A 23,749-nucleotide genomic window follows, 5' to 3' on the forward strand; every position below is an offset into this window, starting at 1 on the left:
GAGAACAGGGAGTTGTCCTATGAATTAAAACATACTACTCTTGTTTTACTGAGGCTTGGAGATATTTTAATCCAAAGTAGGAAATAAGTACCATAAGAGAGGTTCAGATAAAGTGCTATGGGGACTTTTTTTAAAAGAATTTCAGATGAAATAGCATCTCAATTGGGTATTGATTAAATAGGGTTAAAATATGCAAAGTTGGAGAATGGAGTTATAGGGAAGTATTTTCCAGGAAGAGGGAAAAACGAAGAAAGACAAAAATGCCTGAATCATTTTTGCAAAAAGTAGTTGTAGGGTCGATGAAGGTGAATAATGGGAAACAAGGTTGGGAAGATAGGATGGGGACCACGCTTAAGAGGACTACAAATTATGGGTTTTGCTATCTAGACTTCTTTCTTTAGGTAAAGAAGAGCTGTAGGTTTTTAAGCAGAGGAGTTATATGATTTTAGGTATTATTCACAAAGAACAATGTAGTGGCAGAATTGGATTTCCATATAAAAGGGGTTTGGGAAGGCAAGTTGTTTAGGCTTGAAGCCACATTCATAAAGCACCATTAGTATTTTGTTGAAGATTTTTGCATCTGTATTTGTAACGGATATTGGTTTCTAGTTTTTTGTGGTATGTTTGTCTAGATTTGGTATCAGGGTAATACTGGTCTCATAGAATGAGTTAGGAAGTGTTCCTTATCAGCTGATTTTTTTCCTTTTATATACCCTTGGGTGCAGAGAACTGGAGGTTCCTGGAAATTCCATTCCTGATCCCACAGCAGAGAAACAGGATAGAACAACATGTCCTGAGAGACCTTTTGATACATGCCTTCCTCTCAACTTTTTGAAGCAGCAGCACTAGCAGCAGAGAACAAGGAATAGAAGAAAAATAGAAAACGAACAGGTTTGAAGCGTGGTAAAAGTTCTGTGTAAAAGAGGTGGCACTTTACCTGGTTCTTAAAAAATTTTTTTTAAAGTGATTATGATTAATGTTTTAATAGAAAGGGGAAAAGTCTTTGAGTAGCTGGGAGGTGATAAATCTAGATATTTTTGCACAGAAAGGCCATCTTTTCCTGAGATGAGAAGGAAGAGGGTTAGGATGTGAAACAGGAAAAGTTCCCTTGTCCCCCTTGCAGAGCATGCGATGAGGGTGACTCGCTTCTTCAGTGCCCCGCTGCTCAAACCTCTAGGGGAGCATACCAATGGGCAGGCTGTAGGGCTCTGACCCTATGGCAGGGTCTAGGGGTGAATTTTTACAGCTGAAGCCCCAGTGGTCATGTGTTACAGGGTGCTCTTTTAGTTTAGCTGTCCGTAGGTGGCTCGTGTTAGCTCAGACCCCTGCCTTATCTCAAGGACAGAGGGCTTTCTGTATCCCAGGGTTCTTGCCTTGGTGTACCAGAAGAACTGAATCACACATGGGCTTGGAGAATGAGTGTAAGCTTTTGAGTGGAAGTAACTCTCAGCAGATGAGGGAGCCAGAAGGGAGATGGTTTTCCCCTGGAGTCTGGCCGCTCGGCGGTCCGGGCTCTCCTTCAACTGCCCCAGCCAAACTCTCCACCTCATTCCGCTGGTTGATGGCCTGCTGGTGTGCTGGCGTGCTCCCCTCAATGTCCTCTTGACGTCCAGCTGCTTGTGTGTTCCTCTGCTCATGTGCCCCCTCTCGACATCCAGCTGCCTGTTTGTCTGCCTGTGGCGGGATTGATAAGGAATCAGAGAGACCGATGGGGTTGAGGAGGATATTCATTATTTAGATGCATTGGCCTAGTCGGATTAACATCCAAAGGACTGAGCCCTGAACAAAGAGTTAAGTTACCTTTTAAGCATTTCTTGGGGTGGGGGGAGATCTCTTCAGGGGGAAGCATATTACAGAAGCGAGAAACAAAGACAGTTATTTAATTAATTGAGACATGCATTACATCATTTATTACTTTTCAAGGAAAAACATGTTTTATGACTTGAGTTTATCTGTCTATTGACCTTGCAGCTGCACAGCCAGAGAAACAGGGTCTTCACAATGCCTGGGAAAGGAGGAGAGATAAGGCTCACTAGCCACAGAAAAACAGGCAGTTAATTTTTAAAGGACTCCAGCTCTTTCTCTTTGTCTTTCTCAGGGGGAACTGGGTTTTCTTACATACAACTGAGTTTCTGCTTACACATTCCTTCATTTCTTTTAATTCCTGTTCCATGCCTGCTAGGGTCTCAGGGTTTTTATAGGCACAGGATGGGGCTGTGGCAGGCCAGGGTGGTCTTGGGAAATGCAACATTTGGGGAGGAAAACAAAAATGCCTGTCCTCACCTAGGTCCGTGGGGTTGGAACCCTAGCCAGGGACTGCGCCCTCTTCTACCCAGCACTTCCCTTCCCCACTTCCATATCATTTGAAGGGACCAAGCCCTTCCCTTTCCAGCACTTCCCTGGCCCCCTTCCGTATCAGATGGATGGGTATAGCTGCAGGAAAAGAGAAGGAAGCTGAGTTCTTTATGTTCACAATAGAAATCTTCCAGGTCTTAATCTTAGATTTCCAACTTGTCTTCCTCTTTTTTGTGAGGTTGTCAGCTGCTTATATCCGGAGATGTCTGTTAAATTGGGTTCTAACCTCTACTACAAGCCCACTAATCTGTATGATCACACAATAGCAGAGTAGGCATAAAATGTTTGTATTTATCAAATGTTTCATTTTAGTATGCATTATTTCTTCAGAAGTTGTTGGTTTCTCTGCACTCTCATACACAACATTTGCAAGGATCAAAAATAAACATTTATTTGAAGCATTTTCAGAGGATATAATGAAAACTGGTTTTGGCTATAAACATTTAATGAAAATGTAGATTGTATATACCATATATTGATTCCTTGCATAGAACAGAAATTTAGTTTTCCTATGAAATTAAATGCAATGAACCCATATGCAAAAGAAGCTTGATTCTGCTTTATAAAGTTCTAAATCAGGCAATACTAATCTATGGTGTTAAAAGTCAGTTGTTATCTAACAACTAGGGAAGAATGGTTGGGAATACCAGGGGCACTTCTGGAGTGCTGGTAATGTTCTAGTCTTTGACCTAAGCGGGAGTTAGATAGGTTTGTTCACTTTGTGATGATTCATTGTGCTATGTACTTTAAAAAAAAAAACTTTTAAAGTTGACAAAACTTTATTACATATTGTATAATATGTTTTGACATATGTATACCCTGTGGAATGGCTAAATGAAGAAAATTAACATACGCATTACCTCATTTTCTTTTGTGGTCAGAATACTTAAAATCTACTCTCAACAGTTTTCAAGTCTACATCATATTGTTGTTAACTATAGTCAGCATGATATTCAGTAGATCTCTTGAATGTAATCTTCCTGTCTAACTGAAACTTTATATCCTTTGATGAACTCCCAGTCCCCAGAGCCTCTGGTAACCACCATTATAGTCTCTGCTTCTATGAGTTCAACTTTTTTAGATTCCCATATCATAAGTGAGATCATGCAGTATTTGTCTTTCTGTGCCTGGCTTATTTCACTTAACATAATGCCCTCCAGGTTCATCCATGTTATCACAAATGACAGGGTTTCATTCTTTTCTAAGGCTAAATAGTTTTACATAGTGTATGTATACCACATTTTCTTTATATATTCATGAACATGGGAGTAGAGATATCTCTTCAACATGCTGATTTCAGATCTTTTAGGTAAATACCCATAAGTGGGACTGCTGGATAATATGGTAGTTCTATTTTTAATTTTTTGAGGAATCTCCATACTATAGTTTTGTTCCATAGTGAGTAGGTAAAGCTGAGGAGCTGTGAGGCCAAAGAAAGAGGCTGACAAATCCAGTTTCTCAGAAAGAAAATAGGAACTTACAAATAGAAGCCATGTCTCCAGTGACTGTAAGATGGTGGATCCCTGTACTGTTAGCCCCTAGACCCAGGGCTTTTCTATCATAAGGAATTTGCCTAAGGGCAAGATTTATGGTAAGTATGTGTTTATGAGAGCATCAAGACTGTTTTGACCTAAGGACAGGATTTACAGAAAGTAAGTGAAAGTGGAAACCTTAGAGGCATTCCCGGAACTGGGGTTAATCAGAAGTCAACATGGTGGATTAGCATCCAATATGGAGTTGTTTTAACCACCACAAGTTTCCCATAATGCCTATACTAATTTACATTCTCACCAACAGCATACAAGGGTTCCCTTTTGCCTGCGTATGCACCAACACTTGATATCTTTCGTCTGTTTGATGATAACCTTTTTTTTTTTTTTTTTTTTTTAATGAGATAGAGTCTTGCTCTGTCACCCAAGCTGGTGTGCAGTGGCATGATGTCGGTCAACTGCAACCTCCACCTCCCAGGTTCAAGCGATTCTCGTGCCTCAGCCTCCCAAGTAGCTGGGATTACAGGTGTGCACCACCACACCCAGCTAATTTTTTTGTATTTTTTTAGTAGCGACAGGGTTTTGCCATGTTGCCCAGGCTGGTCTTGAACTCCTGAACTCAGACAATCCACTCACCTCGGCCTCCCAAAGTGCTAGGATTACAGGCATGAGCCGCCACACCCAGCTGATGATAGCCAATTTTAACAGTTGTGAGATATCATGATTTTAATTTGCATTTCCCTGATGATTCGTGATTTGCATATTTTCATGTATCTGTTGACCGTTTGTATGTCCTCTTTTGAAAAATGGCTATTCAGATCCTTTGCCTGTATTTTTAATAGGGTTGTTTTCTTACTATTGCTTCAGATACTTATATATTTTTTAATATTAACCCCTCATCACATGTATGGTTTACATATATTATTTCCCATTCTGTAAGTTGTCTCATTACTCTGTTGATTGAGGTGATAGGTTAGGTTGTTTATATCAGATTTTTCTTCTTTTTTCGACGTAGGCATTTATTGCTGTAAACTTTCCTTTTGGATCTGCTTTTGCTGCATACTGTAAGTTTTGGTATGTTGGGTTTCCACTTTTGTTTGTCTCAAGACATTTTTAAATATCCCCTTTAATTCTTTGACCCATTGGCTATTCAGGTGCATCTGTTTAATTTCCATATCTTTCTGAATTTTCTAGAATTCCTTTTAGGTTTCTATTTATATAACATTGTGGTTTGAAAGGTACTTGATGTTATTTCAGTCTTTTAAATTTATAAAGACTTGTTTTGTGGTCAAATATATGATCTCTCCTGCAGTATGTTCTGTGTGTGCTTGAGAAGAATTTGTATCCTGCTGCTGTTAGTTGGAATGTTCTGTATATGTCTTTTAGCGCCATTTGGTTTGATGTACGTAGTTCAAGTTTAATATATCCTTACTGATACTCTGTCTGGATGGTAAGTCCATTGTTGAAAGTGGGGTATTAACGTCCTCTTCAGCTGTGTTGCTATTTCTTCCTTCAGATCAGAAAGGAACGCGTTTTTTCTTTCTTTACATACAGTTTGACCCTTGAACGATACGGGTTCGAACTGCGTGGGTCTGCTTATATACAGATTTTTGCAGTAAATACAATTCGCCCCCTGTATCAGCAGGTTTCACATCTGCAACCAAACCTATATAAAGAATATGGTATTCGTGGGATGTAAAATCTGTATCTGCAGAGTTCTGCAGGGCCAATTATGGGACTTGAATATGTATGTCTTCTGGTATCTGCCAGGGGCCTGGAACCCGTCCTTCAAGATACTGAGGTACGACTGTATTTAGGAGGTCTGACATTGGGAGCATATATATTTACAATTGTTACATCCTCTTGCAAATTCACCCCTTTGTCATTTACTTACCTTGTCTCTTTTTGCAGTTTTTGAATTAAAGTCTATTCTATTTGATAAAACTATAGTGTCTTCTGCACTCTTGGTTTCTGTTTTCATGGAATATCTTTTTTCCATCCCTTCTCTTTCAAACCATGTGTGTCCTTGTAGGCAGCATTTAGTTGGGTCTTGTTTTCCTTTACCCATTCAGCTGCTCTGTCTTTTCATGTGAGAATGTGTGCATCTATTTTGTGTTGCTATGAAGGAATACCTAAGACTGAGTAATTTATACAGGAAAGAGATTTAATTGGCTCACAGTTCTGCAGGCTGTACAGGAAGCATGGTGCTGGCATCTACTCAGCTTCTGGTGAGGGCCTCATGGAGCTTTTACTCATGGCAGAAGGTGAAGTCAAATGTCACATGGTGAGAGGAAGCAAGAGAGGGGGGAAGTCCCACACTCTTTTAAATAACCAGATCTCTCATGAACTCAGAACACGAACTCACTTGTCGCCAAGGGGATAATGCTAAGCCATCCATGAGGAATCCACCTCTGTGACTCAGACACCTCCCGTCAGGCTCTACCTTCAATAACGGAGGTCACATTTCAACATGACATTTGGAGGGAACAAATACACAAACCATATCAGAGAATTTAACCCATTTACATTCAAGATTATTATTGATAAATAAGGACTCACTACTGCAATTTTGTTCATTGTTTTCTAGTTGTTTGGCAGACCCTCTGTTTCTTCCTCTCTTGCTGTCTTCCTTTGTGATTAGATGATTTTCTCTAGTGGCAAGCTTTCATTCCTTACTGTTTACTTTTTGTGCATCTACTCTTGGCTTTTAGTTTGTGGTTACCATGAGGCTTATATAAAACATCTTATAACAGGATATTTCAGACTAATAATTTTCATTGCATTAAAAAAAACTGTATACTTTTACTCCATGCTCCCCATTTTGTTTTTGATGTCACAATTTATATTTTTATATCATATATCCATTAACAAATTATTATAGCTATTATTATTTTTTAAAGTTGTGCCTTTTTTTTTTTTTTTTTTTTTTTGAGACGGAGTCTCGCTCTGTCGCCCAGGCTGGAGTTCAGTGGCGCAATCTCAGCTCACTGCAGCCTCCGCCTCCCGGGTTCAAGCGATTCTCCCTGACTCAGCCTCCTGAGTAGCTGGGATTACGGGTGCCCGCCACCACACCCGGCTAGTTTTTGTATTTTTAGTAGAGATGGGGTTTCGCGATGTTGACCAGGCTGGTCTCGAACTCCTGACCTCAGGTGATCTGCCTGCCTTGGCCTCCCAGAGTGCTGGGATTACAGGCGTGAGCCACCATGCCTGGCCTAAAGTTGTGTCTTTTAGCATTCATACTAATGATATAAGTTGATTTGCAAACCACCATTATGGTATTAGAGTATTCTGGAGTTGACTGTGTACTTACTTTTTAACCAGTGAATTTCATATTCATGTTTTCCTGTTAATAATTAGCATCCTTTTCTTTCAGCTGGAAGAATTCCCTTAACATTTCTTATAAGGCAGGTTTAGCGGAGATGAACCCCCACAGCTTTTGTCTGAGAGTCTTTATCTCTCCTTCATTTCTGAAGTAGGGCATTGCAAGGTAAGTGCATATTCTGCTTCTCTTTGTTTCTAGGGGGCCAAAGCTCTGTATTAATAATAGCCTTAATGTAGTGGTTTTCTCAAATGCTGGTTGTTTTTTAGGTTGTAGTAATGGTGTACTGTGTGTGTGAGCGGGTTCACTTTATCCTACAGAGATGGGAAGGTGGAGGTGTTGGGAGGCTTATCTCGTTCTCCAGAGCTGTGTGCTTCAGTCAGCAGGAATTACATTGGGTTGTGCAGTTCACTCTACGGGCCAGTAGGTGGAGCTTGCAGGAAAGAGGCGGCCAAGCACTGTCCAGTGGTGTCAGTAGAAGTGATGGGCCCTGGAGGTTGACCTCCCAGCCAGTAGCTGGCACTTGCAGGCGCCCGGTAGTTGAGATGGTGTAAAATTTTTACTTCGCCTTTGTTAATCAGGAGAGGTATCAGAATTCTTGGGCAATGAGTGGGCCCATGGGGTTCCCAGTGGTCCCCATCCCGGCTCTGCTGCCAAGGTGGCTGGCAAGGGTCTAGGGTCAGCTTCCAGGCCACTGGGGCAATCTTCCAGAGAGGCCGGGAGGTGCCTCTCCTGTGCTACAGAGCCCATTCAGGGGAATTGGGACAGCCCAGGGTTTTCACTGTACCACATTGCAGTGGGACCCACCCAGCTCCCACACCCCTGAGCTGGTAGGTCTCCAGTATCTAGCTGTCAGCAGCAGAACAGAATGGTTATGCTAGTCCCAAGCCAACTGCATTCAAATTGCCTAGCCACAGGCCATGTGACTCCTTGGGGGCAGAAACCATTGTTATTAGGCCGTACCCTTTCTGTTTTAGTCTTATGGAGGGCGGGCCACCATGCTTCCCTGCCACTGCGTGAACCCACACCATGCTCTTTGTGGTTCTGACAGTGGGGGCTCCTACCCTGCTTGAGATCAGATCATAAATCTCCATGCTCCTGGATGGTGTGCTTGAGTCCTGGGGAACAAGTACCAAGTCAGCAGACTTGTCCACTGGCCCCTTGGGCTCAAGTAACAGCTGTGATAGGGAGGAGCAAATTGCCCCCAGGCTGCCAACAAAACACTCAGATGGGGCAATGGTGGCTACACTGTGGGGTCAGGTTCCCCCTGTCTCCTCCCTCCCCAACAAGCCATGGGAATGGCCAGGCAGGCAGTCTTGGGAGGGATGAGCAGGCATGGGGCATGCTCAGATGTAGCCTGTCTTTGTGGCATATAAGAGTGAGAGTGCCTGGGCCGTGCTCATTCCCTGGCCTGGCAGACAGCAGCAGCTGCAGCAGCTTATGGCATGACATAGAGTCTTGGGGGTTGGTGCCCAGAGTCACGCTTTGCTTAAGTTGTCCAGCACATAGAAGCCTTTGGGGTTCTATATGAGTTCAAGTGACCTGTGTGTGTGTGGTCTCCACGTAGTTCCCTAGCTCCCTCTGCCAGTCTAAAGGTCTGTGAGGTCATGGAACTCTTCTGTAGCTAAGATCTCAGAGGCCTGTGGCAGGAATGTGGTACCCCACAGTTCCTTCACTCACCCTTTCCTTGGGTCCTGGTCTGGGGCCAGTCCTGGCACTTGGTGATGCCAAGCACGCAGTCCTATTACTTCCCTCTTTAACCAGTGTCTCCCATCTTCTATTGAATTTCAGTGTTCTCTTTTTTTTTTTTTGAGACGGAGTTTCACTCTTATTGCCCAGGCTGGAGTGCAATGGTGCGATCTCGGCTCACCGCAACCTCCGCCTTGCGGGTTCAAGTGATTCTCCTGCCTCAGCCTCCCAAGTAGCTGGGATTGCAGGCATGTGCCACCACGCCTGGCTAAGTTTGGTATTTTTAGTAGAGACAGGGTTTCTCCATGTTGGTCAGGCTGGTCTCGAACTCCTGACCTCAGGTGATCCGCCTGCCTCGGCCTCCCAAAGTGTTGGGATTACAGGTGTGAGCCACTGCACCCAGCCTGTTCTCTCTTAAAAGATCTGTTCATGTGATTTACTCAATATTTTGGTTCCTCTTTGTGGAAGAGGCACATCCTAGCTGCATCTAGTCAGCCATGTTGAACCTGGTATCTTTATTGCATTTTTCATTTGTTGTACTCTGCAGCTATGGAACTTTTTTTATTTCAATCTATTAAATTTCTCATTTTGTTTTCCTGATTTCATTGAATTGTTCCTCTGTATTTCCTTGGTTTGCTGAGCTTCCTTAAAATGATTACTTTGAATTCTTTGTTATGTAGTTTGTTGCTCTCCATTTCTCTGGCATTAGCTACTGGGAAATTATTGTGTTCTTTTGATATTGATGTTTTCTTGGCTTTTCATGTTTCTTTTTACCTTACGTTGATGTTTGAGCATTTGGTGCAGCAGTCACCTCTTCCAGACTTTTAAGACTGGTTTTGTTAAGGAAAGACTTCCCCTGTGAGAGGGGGATGTGAGGGCACTGGCTGGGTGAGGTGCAGTGATTCTGGCAGCTGTGAGGATGCAACAGTGTAGTCTCCTTGTAGCTCTTTCAGCTGAGATCACTGTTGAAAACTGCAGGGATCCTCAGCAACCAACACTGTCAGTGTTTGCAGCAGTGGTAAGGGCTGTTGGGGTGCTTGGTGATGATGACTGTAGGGTCCTCTTGATCTCTCTTTCCCCGACCAGGGAAGTTGTGGCTAAAGGGATCCTTCTTGACACTGGGTCTGGCATGCAAGCCCACTTGAGGTGGCAATGGAACTGGTGTCTGATGAGTGATGCCCACAGAGCAGCATGTGTAAAGGGACTATAGCTCTGGGGTGGTAATGGCACTGGTGCCCAGGGCACAGACACCCTGCTGGTGAAGTATGGGAGCTTGTGAAACAGGCAGGGACAAGAGCACAAGTGTGCACACAGCTACAGCGGCTTTAGTGTGGAGGCAAGGCCTGGCCCTCTGTGATGACTGAGCTGGTCTCCAGGGTGTAAACACATAGAGAAACCTTGGCTCTGGGGCCCAGGGTGTAAACTCCCTTACTATGGCAGTGGCTTTACTGTTTGCGGTATAGGTGTGCACAGCCCAGCCTTGGAGTCAGGGCCTGGAGCATGGGCTCTCAATGGCAGCTGAGCTGGTGTTTGGAGTGTGGACATGCAGAGAGATCTTGGCTCTGGAGTGCAAACTAGCTTGCTATGGCCATGGCTGTTGGTTACCTTTGTGGCAAAAGAAGGTGGTATCCTCTGCAGAGCAGGCCACATGACTGATATCGATAGTGCCTGCCTTTCTTCTTAGCCATCTTCTGGTGTCTCAGGAATTCTGATCTCATAAGCAATTTTTTATGTGCATTTTTTCTTTTAATTCTCCACTAGGTTGTTGCACATTTTTTAATGGGCCCTTGAGGCTGGGTGCAGTAGCTCATGCCTGTAATTCTAGCAGTTTGGGAGGCTGAGGCAGTAGGATCGCTTGAGCTCAAGAGTTTGAGACCAGCATAGGCAACATAGTGAGGCCCTGTTTCTACTCAGAAACAAAAATAAAAAACAACCAAAAACTTAGTCAAGCATGGTGGCACCTGAGTCCCAGCTATTTGGGGAGTCTGAGGTGGGAGGATCACTTCAGCCCAGGAGTTTGAGGCTGCAGTGTGCTATGATCACACCACTGCACTCCAGCATAGGCGACACAGTGAGAGATCCTGCCATTCATTAATTCATACAAACATATATACATATATTAAGACAATTGCCCTTGAGCCCTCCAGGGCTATTTTGGTTTGTGGATAGCAGTGTGTATTTGTTTCTTTTGACGGGGCATGAAGGCTGTTATCTCCTCCACCATTTTGGTGACATCACTTGCCAAAATTTCCATATACTTCTGATTTGTGCATTTTTTGGTGGGTATAATGTAATTTTAAAAAAGTGATTAGCTGAAAGTTAGGAGGGCCTTTTTACCCCCAGAACAGACATCATGTTTATTACATCCACTCTCATACCTATGGACTAAAAGCAAGACACATACCCACACCTAAAGTTGTTGGGGGGGTAAACTGTGGCCATTGTGAAGCCATAGCAAAGTGAGGAGGGAGGCAGAAATATCCAAAGAGGGTACTTTTTTTTTCCCCCTTGGGTATCAGAAAATTGGCTTTGTCGGGATTAATAAGACTTTTTAAAAGCACTTGTGCAAGACAGTATCCTAAATAATTTACATGAAGTATCTTATATAATCCTCATGCAATAACCCTGTGCAGTAAGTACTGTTACCATCCCCATTTTACAGATGACATGGAGGATAAGAGGAGTAACTTACTCAAGGTCATACAGCTAGTATGTAGTAGAGGAAGCACTTAACCCCAAGCAATCTGACATCAGAGCTTGACTATAGGAGGGTACTTAAAATTTTTTTTTGGCTGGGTGCAGTGGCTCACACCTGTAACCCCAGCACTTTGGGAGGCTGAGGTGGATGGATCACCTGAGGTCAGGAGTGCGAGACCAGCTTGGCCAACATGGTGAAACCCCATTTCTACTAAAAGTACAATAATTAGCTGGGCGTGGTGGCAGACACCTGTAATCCCAGCTACTAGGGAGGCTGGAGCAGGAGAATCGCTTGAACCTGGAAGGTGGAGGTTGCAGTGAGCCAAGGTCATGCCATTGCACTCCAGCCTGGGTGACAAGAGCAAAACTCAAAGAAAAAAATTTTTTTTTCTTAAGACAGCATCATTTTACCTTGGTTGTCTTATAACAAATATTTAAATCCATTCTCAGATATAAATTATATCTAGTTGTTTTTTTTTTTTTTTTTTTTGAGGCGTAGTCTTGCTGTCACCCAGGCTGGAGGGCAGTGGTGTGATCTCGGCTCACTACAACCTCCACCTCCCGGGTTCAAGCGATTCTCCTTCCTTAGCCTCCCCAGTAGCTGGGATTACAAGCACACGCCACCACAGCTGGCTAATTTTTGTATTTTTGGTAGAGATGGGGTTTCGCATGTTGGCCAGGCTGGTCTCGAACTCCTGACCTCAGGTGATCCGCCTGCCTCAGCCTCCCAAAGTGCTGAGATTACAGGTGTGAGCCACTGCACCCAGCCTAAATTATATCTACTTTTAAAGAAGAAAAAGCCTGTTGAAAATACCATACTATACACTAATGGATGTGTAACTGATTTATCTAGAGAATGGTAGATTTTCTACCATTAGTATACCAAATTTTAAAATTCTGTCCAGCCGAATAAAGCAGCAGCTGCAAATAAAAATCCTTTGAGTAGTGGTTCTCAAATTTTGGTGCACATCAGAATCACATGGTAGAGTCATTAAAATAGATTGCTGGCCAGGTGCAGTGGGTGAGTCCTGTAATCCCAGCACTCTGGGAGGCCAAGGCAGGAGGATTGCTTGACGCTGTAAGTTTGAGACTAGCCTGGGCAACATGGCAAGACCCCGTCTCTACAAAAATGTTTTAAAAATAGCTGGGTGTGGTGGTGCATGCCTGTAGTCCTAGCTACTTAGGAGGCTGAGGCTGGAGGATAGCTTGAACTGAGCCAAGGGGTTCAAAGTTAGTTATAGTGAGCTATGATTGTGCCACTGCACTCCAGCCTCGGTGACAGAGCAAGACCCTGTCTCTAAAAACACAATCAGATCGCTGAGCTCTACCCCAGAATTTCCAACTCAACATGGTTGGGGCCAAAGAATTTGCATTTTCTAACACGTTCCCAGGTGGTGCTGCTGCTCCTTACCCAGACAACCCCACTTGCAATCTGCCCTTTTGAGTGTTTTCTATTTATCTTGAGTTTAATGAAATGAAGCAAAATCACACACTTAAAACTTTTAGAAGGAGAACAATTTTATTCTAAAAATAGAACTTGGTAACAATGAAATACCAAAAGCTGGTCATTATAATAAAAAGAAAAGAAGAGTTTAACTTTTTTTTTGTGAAAATACAAAATTATCACTATAATATACTGCCAACTCTGTTTATCTGTATTTGAATTATTCCTTTCATGGATTATTCAAGGAAATTTTAAAATTGGCTTCTGCCTAGTACTTATACATCTGGATTGTTTGTTTTGATCTTCAGATAAATACATTCTCAAGGAATGCAAGCAAAACTGAGCATTTTTTTTATGCTTAAGAAATATGGTCCAAAGCAAAATATTTTTTTGCATAACCATTTCCCTCAATTTTTATAGATAACAACAACAAAAAAACCTACATTCAAAGTACGGGTATTTGAAAGTAACAAATTATACTACTTACATACAGAGAAAAAGACATAACTAAACTACTTCAAACCCAATGCAGAGGAAACTTTCAAGGCAAATGATGACTTAGTACTTAAAAAGTGGTTTTTCTATCTTCAAAGTGCTAAAGAAACAAGTATTCAAAAAGAAACTTCAGGTCGGTCTACGAAGTTCTGACTGACTTGAAGTAGTGAAATACCAAGAATGCAGTGGACAAATTTAAAAGGCCTTCATTAGAATAAAGTATATCTTAACTACATTTTGCAAAGAAATGAAGCAATGGTTGCACAACCAGTCAGGGCCAAGTTAGTAACATACAACTCAGCCATCAGCCCACCTCTCCTTCAAACTAAACTAATCTAAATGTATTTTTCAGAAAATTTCCTCCATACTCCATGTATGTGTTACATACATCCAATCATATCCATATTTTGGATCATTTTTTTCTATATTCATCAGATTATTGGTTAAAATGCACAGCAAGTAGAAATGATCCATTTCAAAATTCTTAATATCTAGCGTTCTCTGTAAAACAAAAGCTGACAACAGTTTTATTGTACTCCTATTAAATGTAGGTGCATGTTCATTAGGACATCTGAGCTATTTTTAGGACCTTCAGAAACTGGTGTGATTCACTTTGGCCCTCTGAGATAGAAATGCCATCTTAGTATTTACTGTGACTACATACCTCTTTTGTTAAAACTTGACCCTGAGTTTTGAGTGCTGGAATATAAACTGTAAAATGGAAAACACTCCAAAATACATTAGCTAATATTGGTGTCTCTACAATACTGTGCTTTTTCTCTCCATTAACATAATGCATCTGAGAGTACTTCTCCTTCAGCATGGAGTAAGAGGAGGGATTTGAGGGAATATCCAAATCAGGAAGGAGGAAATGTCCTCTCTAAAAATTCCTCTCAAAACTTTCTAAGAATTTATTCTAAAATATTTTGGTGTTTGTTTTAGTATAAAAATGTCATTTCCCCAAATCTGAGTAATATCGACAGTGCATGAAAGAAAATATAGCATTTTCATCCTGCAGGTTTAGTTGCCTGGGGGAAGTCCCACAATCCCTGGCTTAATAAACACAGCATTACGCTATAGTTTTGACTCTATAGAATTCTAAATGTTCTTTTGAAAATCATACAAGCGGTTCTTTTTCTTAAAGTTAGGTGTGTTTACACTCAATTAAAAATTTCTAGATATTGAAAGCAGCTCTACAGTTCTTAAAATATTCACAAAATATAAAATTAAAATTAAATGAACTAAAGTAACTTCCAGTGGTGACAATATTCTCACAGTAGCAAATAATCTAACTTCTAGGAGGTTTTTTCCCTATAATGCCAGGATTATTTAATACTGACAACTAAGTCTTTAAAACATTATTATGTTAAACACTGCAGTTTACCTAAATTACACAGAGAACAAAAATTACATCAACATTGAAAGCTCAAAAGAAGTTAATAAAAATATGTGCTCCTTAATGCTCCAATGGATCCCTAACAGGGCTAAGCAAAGCTATTATTTTGGGTTTTATTTGAAAATTTTCTTTTTCTTGGAGTATTTTGTTTCTAGACCAACTACTACAGTTTAAAGCACAAAAAATGTTGATGTTTTTCTTAAATTATGCTTCAGATCTAGTTTGATTGTATAATTTCTGTGTGGCATTAGTAATTAAGATATATCCAGCTCTGAAAAGCACTGAAGTTCTTTATGTGAGCTACAAAAGATACCCAAAATCCTGAGTGCTGTGACAAACTTCTTATTTGTATGCCCAGATGGCATTCTGTCTTTCAGTGATGACGTCTTTCAATTACTGGTCATATGTGACCAATGCCCCCACCCCAGCCAAAAAAAAAAAGATAGGACTTGTTTGTCTTACTATGAACTTGCTAAAACCATTGTATGAACGGTCTATAAGGATCCAGATGTTTATTTCAAAACCCAAACCCTTGTTACCTTGAAGAATCTTTACATATTTACGTAATACACTGTACATTATATGCATGGCCTGTTTATACTATTTTCAAAAAGAGAATATTGTTTTAAACTATTAATAAACCAAAATTAATTGATAGGGCAGCATCAATCTGTATTCCATCCTTGGTCCATGGATTTCCTTAAATGATGGCATCATGTTCATCTCTGTAATATATTAAAAGTTACAATTACTTTGTTTTGTTTTTTCTGTCAAAACTACTTATGTTCCTATTTGTTAGTAAAGTAGGATTAGAACAATTTCAAGCTGCACAATCAAAATGGTCAGTGTTCTGTGTAAAGTTCCTTAAGTATCCAATATACTGTAGTGGTTAAAGATCTGGGGGTTAATGGCATGGGGATCCACCATCTTGTCTTGCTGCAATCATAGACACAGACATAGCTTCTATTTGTAAGTCCCTATTAAATATTTCTTTCTAGCTGGTCACAGTGGCTCATGCTTATAATCCCAGAACTCTAGGAGGTCAGAAAGGAGGATCACTTGAGCCCAGGAGTTTGAGACCAGCCTGGGCAAAACAGTGAGACTACCATCTCTATAAAACATTTAAAAATTAGCCTGGTGTGGCATTGCATGCTTGTAGTCCCAGCTACTCAGCAGGCTGAGGTAAGAGGATCACTTAAGCTCAGGAGGCTGAGGTTGCAGTGACCCGTGATCGCACCACTGCACTCCAACCTGGGTGACAGAGCCACTGCAAAGCACTCTGTTTAGTCATGGTTTCTTTTATGTATTCTTTCATGTATTGACCTTAAAAAAGAATGTTTCTGAATATGCCTTTAATCTGACAAACCACCACCTTAATATTCTTTTAAAATCAGTTTGAGCCTACAGCCATGCCACTGTGAATGTGTCTGATCTCATGTGATCATGGAAGCTAAAGTGAGTTTGATATGATAAATATATGCAACGTAACTTTAAATATAACTTTTAAAAATATGTTTTTAAGGCCAGATATGGTGGCTCACGCCTGTAATCCCAGCACTTTGGGAGGCCAAGGTGGGAGGATCACCTAAGGTCAGGAGTTTGAGACCAGCCTGGCCAACATGGTGAAACCCCATCTCTACCAAAAATACAAAAATTAGCTGGGCGTGGTGGTAGGCACCTATAATCCCAGCTACTGGGGAGGCTGAGGCAGGAGAATAGCTTGAACCCAGGAGGCAGAGGTTGCAGTGAGCCGAGATCGTGCCATTGCACTCCAGCCTGGGCAACAAGAGGGAAACTCCATCTCAAAAAAAAAAAAAATCTGTTCTTAAATTATCATTTTTGTTTAAGTATTAGTAATATAACTGTTAGATCCAATTTTCATTTATGATGCGATGTTTATTTAGAGCTTATGTCAGTAACCTGAAAATCTGGGAAACTTCCATGTTCTTAAAATCTATCAAGAAGTTTGATTTACTTTTATGTGTACTGAATCATATGTAGTGTCAAAACTGGAAGATTCCAATGGCCTATTCCAACATTTCCCAAAATGTGTTCCACACAATACTAGTTCCAAGAGATAGACAGTGTTAGCTCCCATTGAAGAGGGGCAGGGGGAGGGATTTATTCATTCAACAAGTATTTTGGTTAAAAATTTGGGAAACAGTTCATACTGTATTCCATCCTGGAAAATCATAATGTATATCAATATTTTAAAGGCTTAGAGAAGTCTTATAGTAAACTGTCTTAGTTTACTTTAGTCAACTGAACATTTCCCACACTTTTTGATATAGGAACTGTGTGTGTGGGACACATGTATGTCAAATGTTAACCCACAGGGCAAATTTTGGAAAACAGTCATCTGTTCTATGGTATTTATATACATTAACACTAAAAAAAGTGAATTAGCTCTTACATTTGTGTCACCCAATATGAGTATGTTGAAACCCTAATCCCAGTGTGATGATATTTTGAAGTGGGGCCTTGGGAAGGTAGTTAGGTCGTGAGGGTGGAACCCTCGTGAACAGAATTAATACCCTTACAATTAGAGGTCAGAGAACTAGCTCGCCTTCTTTCTGCCATGTGAAGAAGGCCCTTACTAGAACTCAACCATGGTGGCACCCTGATCTTGGACTTCCAAGCCTCCGGAAGTGTGAGAACTAAATGTCTGCTGTTTAAGGCACCCAGCTGTATGATACTTTGTTGTGTCAGCATGAACTAAGACAACACGTAAGACTCAAAAAAACAAAAACAAAAAGGACTATTGGAGCAACAAAAGTTTGGATATATCCTCAAACCATCAGACCTATAGAGCTACATGTAGAGTAAACATGGATTAGGTCTTGTTGATAATGCACATCTAAAAAGAGAGTTTTGCTACAGGTAAAATGATAAATTATATTATTTATACTAACCACTCATTTAAATTTTCAGGGATAATGAGGCTGTCAGAGGAATTTTTTTTGTCTTTGTCGTGGAAAACAAAAGCCATGGTTTTACCAAGGATGCTATTTAGTACCACAACAGACACAGACATACTAAGTCAAAAGCCTGCTGGGAACTGGTATTTCTTACGATTATTGGTATGAGTAAGTGAAAATTTCAGGGTAGGTTAACTTTGGTCTCCTGTAAAGTGTGTTTGACACTAGTAAAATACATTTTTTTAAGTATATACATCCATTTTCATTTGCAAATAATTATAATCACAAGCTTGTACATAAACAATTTACTTTGGGCCAAAAGGGTTAATGGGAATATAACTCATAAATCTATCAATTATTCATCCCTGAGATGAGCACTGGCTTGATATTCTATCATAATTAAAGATGTGCACCAACAATTTTTTTTAAAAAGTCCTGGCCATTCAAAACTTACATGGTTCGATACCGAATGCCTCTTCTTGAGTAATACATTTTGCATCCAATGTAAAGAATAGATAAAACTCCCAGCGTTAATACAATACCACCAACAAAGCTCCCAGTATCAAATTTTGATCCTTTCTTTGCTTCAGAATGCATAGTTGTTGTGACTAGAACAAAAGAAAACAAAAAAGGGCTTTAGCGTTATTTTTTTTTTTTTAACATTGTAATTAAAGCTCTCTGATTTTCTGTGTTAAGAACATTTAATTAGGAATTAAGGGAAATCTAGGCATATAAAGTTTCTATATTATTTTTGCCAGACAGAATAATGACTTAAATGTGGCATTTAACTACTTGCAGCATAGGAAAAAAAAGGTCAGCTTTAATACATACTTGTTACTGATGAAGCAGCAGATGTCACTGAACTATTGTGGGTTACGGTCATTGTGGATGTTGATATCTGAGATGTGTTCTGTGAAACACTTGTTGTTTTGGGTGTAGACTTTAAGGTGGTAGAAGTCATATTTGTTGAGACCATCCCTGGTGTTGTTGTATTAGATGCCGCTGTAGGTTTCATGGTGGTGACCGTTGTATTACTGGAGTCTGAGGCAACTGAAGTTGGTGGTTTCACAGTACTGTTGGAAGTTTCATTTGTATGGTCAGAAGGCACATGTTGGAGAGTCTCTGCAATAATATCAAGAAACATTAAAACCAGAGCTATGATTTAGGGAATAAGATCCCATTTCACTGAGACTTTCATGGTCACAGACAAAGCAAGAGATCTTACAAATACAGCAGCATTTAACATACTTAGCCCATTAATACTTTGCACTATACTGCAATAAAATGTCTCAAACTAGTAAAAGACTCAACAGAAACCAAGTCTAAATTTATATAAAGTTAGAAATTTTGGGGAAGATATGAAGAAAAAAAAAAACAACCCAGAAGACAGAGTTCCCTCAGTGCAGGGACATGTCTTAATCATCTCTGTCTGAACATCTCAACGTATTTCATATCACATAATAGGCTTTCAACAAATATCTGTTGAATGGATGGATAAACTAATGAATATAAAAATGGTTTTTAAATTTCCAGTTCTCTGCTATACCTTCCAAGGGGCTTTGAGGACAATAAATCAGTAGCTGCATGTTTCTAACCCTCCTGGTAGAATGGGAAGTCCAAGTGAGTTATTTTTTGTAAAAGTAAAGCCAACTTCCCACTATGCATTAGGAAGTGAGATACCATCACAGAATGTGGCTAGCTGTCATACTGGTAATAATAATTTCCCATAGTTGGAAGGACAGTTCTAAAACTATCTGTGAAAGTTTTACAAGTCCAAAAGCCAATTTTGTATGAAAAGAAAAATTAGTGATTTAAAATACACAACTCAAACAATACCTTTGCTCATACCTGCAACTGAGTTTTTCTTTTTTGGGGGGTATAATGTAAACAGAAACATATAGGTACAGATCTTGTTAATGCTCCTTAACTTCTTTTTTGTTTTTTGAGATGGAGTTTCACTCTGTCACCCAGGCTGAAGTGCAGTGTCAAGATCTCGGCTCAATGCAACCTCCGCCTCCTGGGTCCAAGTGATTCTCCTGCCTTGACCTCCTGAGTAGCTGGGATTACAGGTGCCTGCTACCATGCTGGCTAATTTTTGTATTTTTAGTAGAGACAAGGTTTTACCATGTTGGCCAGGCTGGTCTTGAACTCCTGACTTCAAGTGATCTGCTCGCCTCAGCTTCCCCAAGTGCTGGGATCACAGGCATGAGCCACCGTGCCCGGCCAATACTCCTTAAAATAAACTTCGATTACTTTTGTTTTCATCCAGCAAAGGTTTCCTTCTTTTTGCATAAAATATGGCCTATAACCAGAAGCAAACCTTTCTGTGTTAATTTTATTTCATACTGCATCTTCTTTTTAACACGACAATTTAACTAACGTTTACAACTATAGGTACCTATTAGGATACAATGTCTAGGGAATGAAAGCTTTTAATATGTCTTTGTCCATTTAATATGATGTAATATATTTCTGTATTCATTTCCTGTCTCATAGTTTATTTTCAGGTTTTTTGGTTTCCTATGTTGCCTACTGCTATGGTTTGGATTTGGTTTGTTTGTCCCTATCAAAACTCATATTGAAATTTGATCTCCAATGTGGCGGTCTTGGGAGGTGGGGCCTAGTGGGAGTTGTCTGGATCATGGGGGCAGATCCCTCATAAATGGCTTGATGCCCTTCACGTGGTAGTGAGTGAGTTCTCATTCTGGCAAAACTGGATCAGTTCCTGTGGAAATGAGTTCCCATGAAAGGGGGTTGTTATAAAGCCAGGATGCTCCTCGGGTTTTCTATCTTTGCAGTTACCCACTTCCCCTTTGACCTTCTCGGCCATGTTGTGGCACAGCTTTATAAAAGCCCTCCCCAGAAACCAGGGCTTGCAGAACTTTCCCAGCCTGCAGAACCTTGAGCTAAATAAACATTTTCTTTATCAATTACCTAGTCTCAGGTATTCCTTTATAGCAACACAAAATGTACTAAGACACCTTTATACTCCCATTTTATTATATATGTCCACATACTTAAGGTACACAGAATTAACCACTGGACCTGCTTTCTCCTTTCCCCCAGTGAGAGCAGTACCAATGCCTTAGGTTCCTTGCCCCGCCACTGTTGTCAAGTACCAAAAGTGATACTTCATATATTATCCTATCTTCCACAACTATTTTGGCCTTATTCTTGAAAGACAGACAGATTGATATTTATTTATTTATTTAACTTAGAGACAAAGTCTTACTCTGTCACCCAGGCTGGAGTGCAGTGGCATGATCTCGGCTCAGGGCAACCTCCGCCTTCTGGGTTCAAGCGATTCTCGTGCCTCAGCCTACTCAGTAGCTGGGATTACAGGCACATGCCACGACGCCTGGCTAATTTTTGTATTTTTAGTAGAGACAGCGCTTCACCATGTTGGCCAGGCTCGTTTCAAACTCCTGACATCAGGTGATCCGCCCACCTCAGCCTCTCAAAGTGCTAGTACTACAGGTGTGAGCCCCTGCACCTGGCCCCTATATGTATTTATTATTGTTATTACTATTTTTGAAACAGTCTTGCTCTGTCCCCCAGGCTGGAGGGCCGGTGCCTGCGATCTCGGCTCACTGTAACCTCTGCCTCCCAGGTTCAAGCAATTCTCCTGCCTCAGCCTCCTTAGTAGCTGGGATTACAGGCATGCACCACCAAGCCCACCTAATTTTTGTACTTTTAGTAGAGACGGGGTTTTGCCATGTTGGCCTGGCTGGTCTTGAACTCCTGACCTCAGGTGATCTGCCTGCCTTGGCCTCCCAAAGTGCTGGGATTACAGGCTAAGCCACCATGCTCGGCCCCAGCTATATTTATTTTTGACTTAACTGTCAAAACAAGTTGGTTTTAATAGTGCTGCTTACTTGCATATCGGGTTTTACTACTGGAATTTCTACTACTTTCTTCAACTTTGGGTCTCTGTGATCTCTTCTACTGAGTATGACCTATTTTCTTTTTTCTTTTTTTTTTTGAGACAGAGTCTTGCTCTGTTGCCCAGGCTGGAGTGCAGTGGCGTGATCTCAGCTCATTGCAAGCTCCGCCTCCCAGGTTCACGCCATTCTCCTGCCTCAGCCTCCTGAGTAGCTGGGACTACAGGCGCCCACCACCACGCCTGGCTAATTTTTGTATTTTTATTAGAGACGGGGTTTCACCTTGTTAGCCAGGATGGTCTCGATCTGATCTCCTGACCTTGTGATCTGCCCGCCTCAGCCTCCCAAAGTGCTGGGATTACAGGTGTGAGCCACCGTGCCCGGCCTGATCTATTTTCTTAATAAGGCCAAAGGAATTAACGCTTTTATACTACATAGGCAAATAAATAATAAATATCCAAGTAGGTAATACAAATGCACTAAGTTCAAATGAACTTGAACTAATCTTTTCTTATTCAAGTCTGAATGTTCTATAGAGATATAAGTAATAGAATTTAACATTAAAATAATCACCTTTTATTTAAAAATGCTGAATGGATTCTATTGCAATGAAATTAAATACAGCAAAGAACCAACGTTTATATCCTATCTTTAGAATAGAATGATCCCGCAGAATAAAACAATGAACACAATGCTGCTTTCGGATTCAACACACACACACACCCCTCCCCCTGCCCTCTGGTATAATAAAACATTCTTCAAAGATACTGTACAAAGTCACATGGGCCAAAATAGGAAGCTATAATAGGTTAGTTCTCCGCTAAGTCAATCCAAATGTGCTAAAGAAACAAAAAATTTTGTCAATTTCTATGTCAATTTCTTTGTCGATTTCTATGAATTGACAAAACAGGCAAAAGGAAATTTTGCATTAAACTGTGTTTCCTGATGCTTTTAAGCATAAATGAAATGCAAGGATGCTCTCCAAATTCACATTGGATGACCCAATCTTCTTCTGTAATAAGTAAATAGTCACTTGTTTTCCTCTGCAAATGATACCATCCCAACTCTGGTCTTCTTCCCTCTCCCTTAACTGTTGAAATGCTGACTGGCACCTCTAGGAGTGGCACAGTTAACACCTGCAAAGAGATGCAGAATGGACCATCCCTGTGGGACTTGCAAGGGGTGAAGCTTTATCTAAGTCTGCCCATCTTAGCCACTCAGTCTCCTCCAGCCTCCGATAAGCTAAGGTTGAAGAATCTGAGGCGCATATGTTGCTGGAGGGTGTCAGTGTGCAGGGTGTCCACTCCCTCCTCTGTCTATGGGGGTAAAGAGGAGAATGCCATCCTCCACCTTACACCAGCCTGGGAAGGCTTCTAGGGCACTACCTGAAGAGCTGGACAAGCATCTACTGGACTTGGATGGACACAGACAGTAGGATTTGATTCAAGCCTTAACAAACATGAGACACTGTGACTGAGCTCTATCTACCCATCAGCTAAGTTTAAAAGGCTGCACTGGGAGTAGACCACACCTCCACTAACAGCAAAGGTTCTTGTTTCCCATGGACCAAATCAAACTCCATGGAAGATAACTGACATGAGATTGCCTTAAAAAAGATAGCTTCCTGGGGCCGAGTGCAGTGGCTCACACCTGTAATCCCGGCACTTTGGGAGGCTGAGGTGGGTAGATCACGAGGTCAGGAGATCGATCACTGGCTAACACAGTGAAACCCCGTCTCTACCAAAAATATAAAAAATTAGCCGGGCATGGTGGCGGGCGCCTGTAGTCCCAGCTACTCGGGAGGCTGAGGCAGGAGAATGGCGTGAACCTGGGAGGCAGAGCTTGCAGTGAGCTGAGATTGCGCCACTGCACTCCAGCCTGGGCAACAGAGCGAGGCTCCGTCAAAAAAAAAAAAAAAAAAGATAGCTTCCCAAGAGAGTACAGCTTAGAGAGGGGGAGGTCACCAGTAGGGGGTGGAGCACCAAAAGCAAGGGCCAGCTGGAGGAGAGGCCCACTGCACCAAGAGCTGAAGGGGGAGGCTTAGCAGGAGGATCTCCCAGGAACC

At 41.3% G+C, this 23,749-nt stretch overlaps 1 protein-coding gene across 1 annotated transcript in view; it reads right to left on the bottom strand.

The window, feature by feature from the left end:
- Positions 1–13,050: 13,050 nt before the first annotated feature.
- Positions 13,051–23,749, bottom strand: part of TMEM123 (transmembrane protein 123) — a 56,434-nt gene continuing 45,735 nt past the window's right edge. The window contains exons 3-5 of the mRNA NM_052932.3: positions 18,635–18,925; positions 18,258–18,411; positions 13,051–15,610 (exon numbers count right to left, since the gene is read on the bottom strand). Coding sequence (NP_443164.2) covers positions 15,586–15,610; positions 18,258–18,411; positions 18,635–18,925 — 470 coding nt within the window. The 3' untranslated portion in view covers positions 13,051–15,585. The remainder of the gene's footprint in view (positions 15,611–18,257; positions 18,412–18,634; positions 18,926–23,749) is intronic.

The sequence above is a fragment of the Homo sapiens genome, chromosome 11, assembly GCF_000001405.40.
Source record: "Homo sapiens chromosome 11, GRCh38.p14 Primary Assembly".
In the NCBI taxonomy this organism is placed as follows: Eukaryota; Metazoa; Chordata; class Mammalia; order Primates; family Hominidae; genus Homo; species Homo sapiens.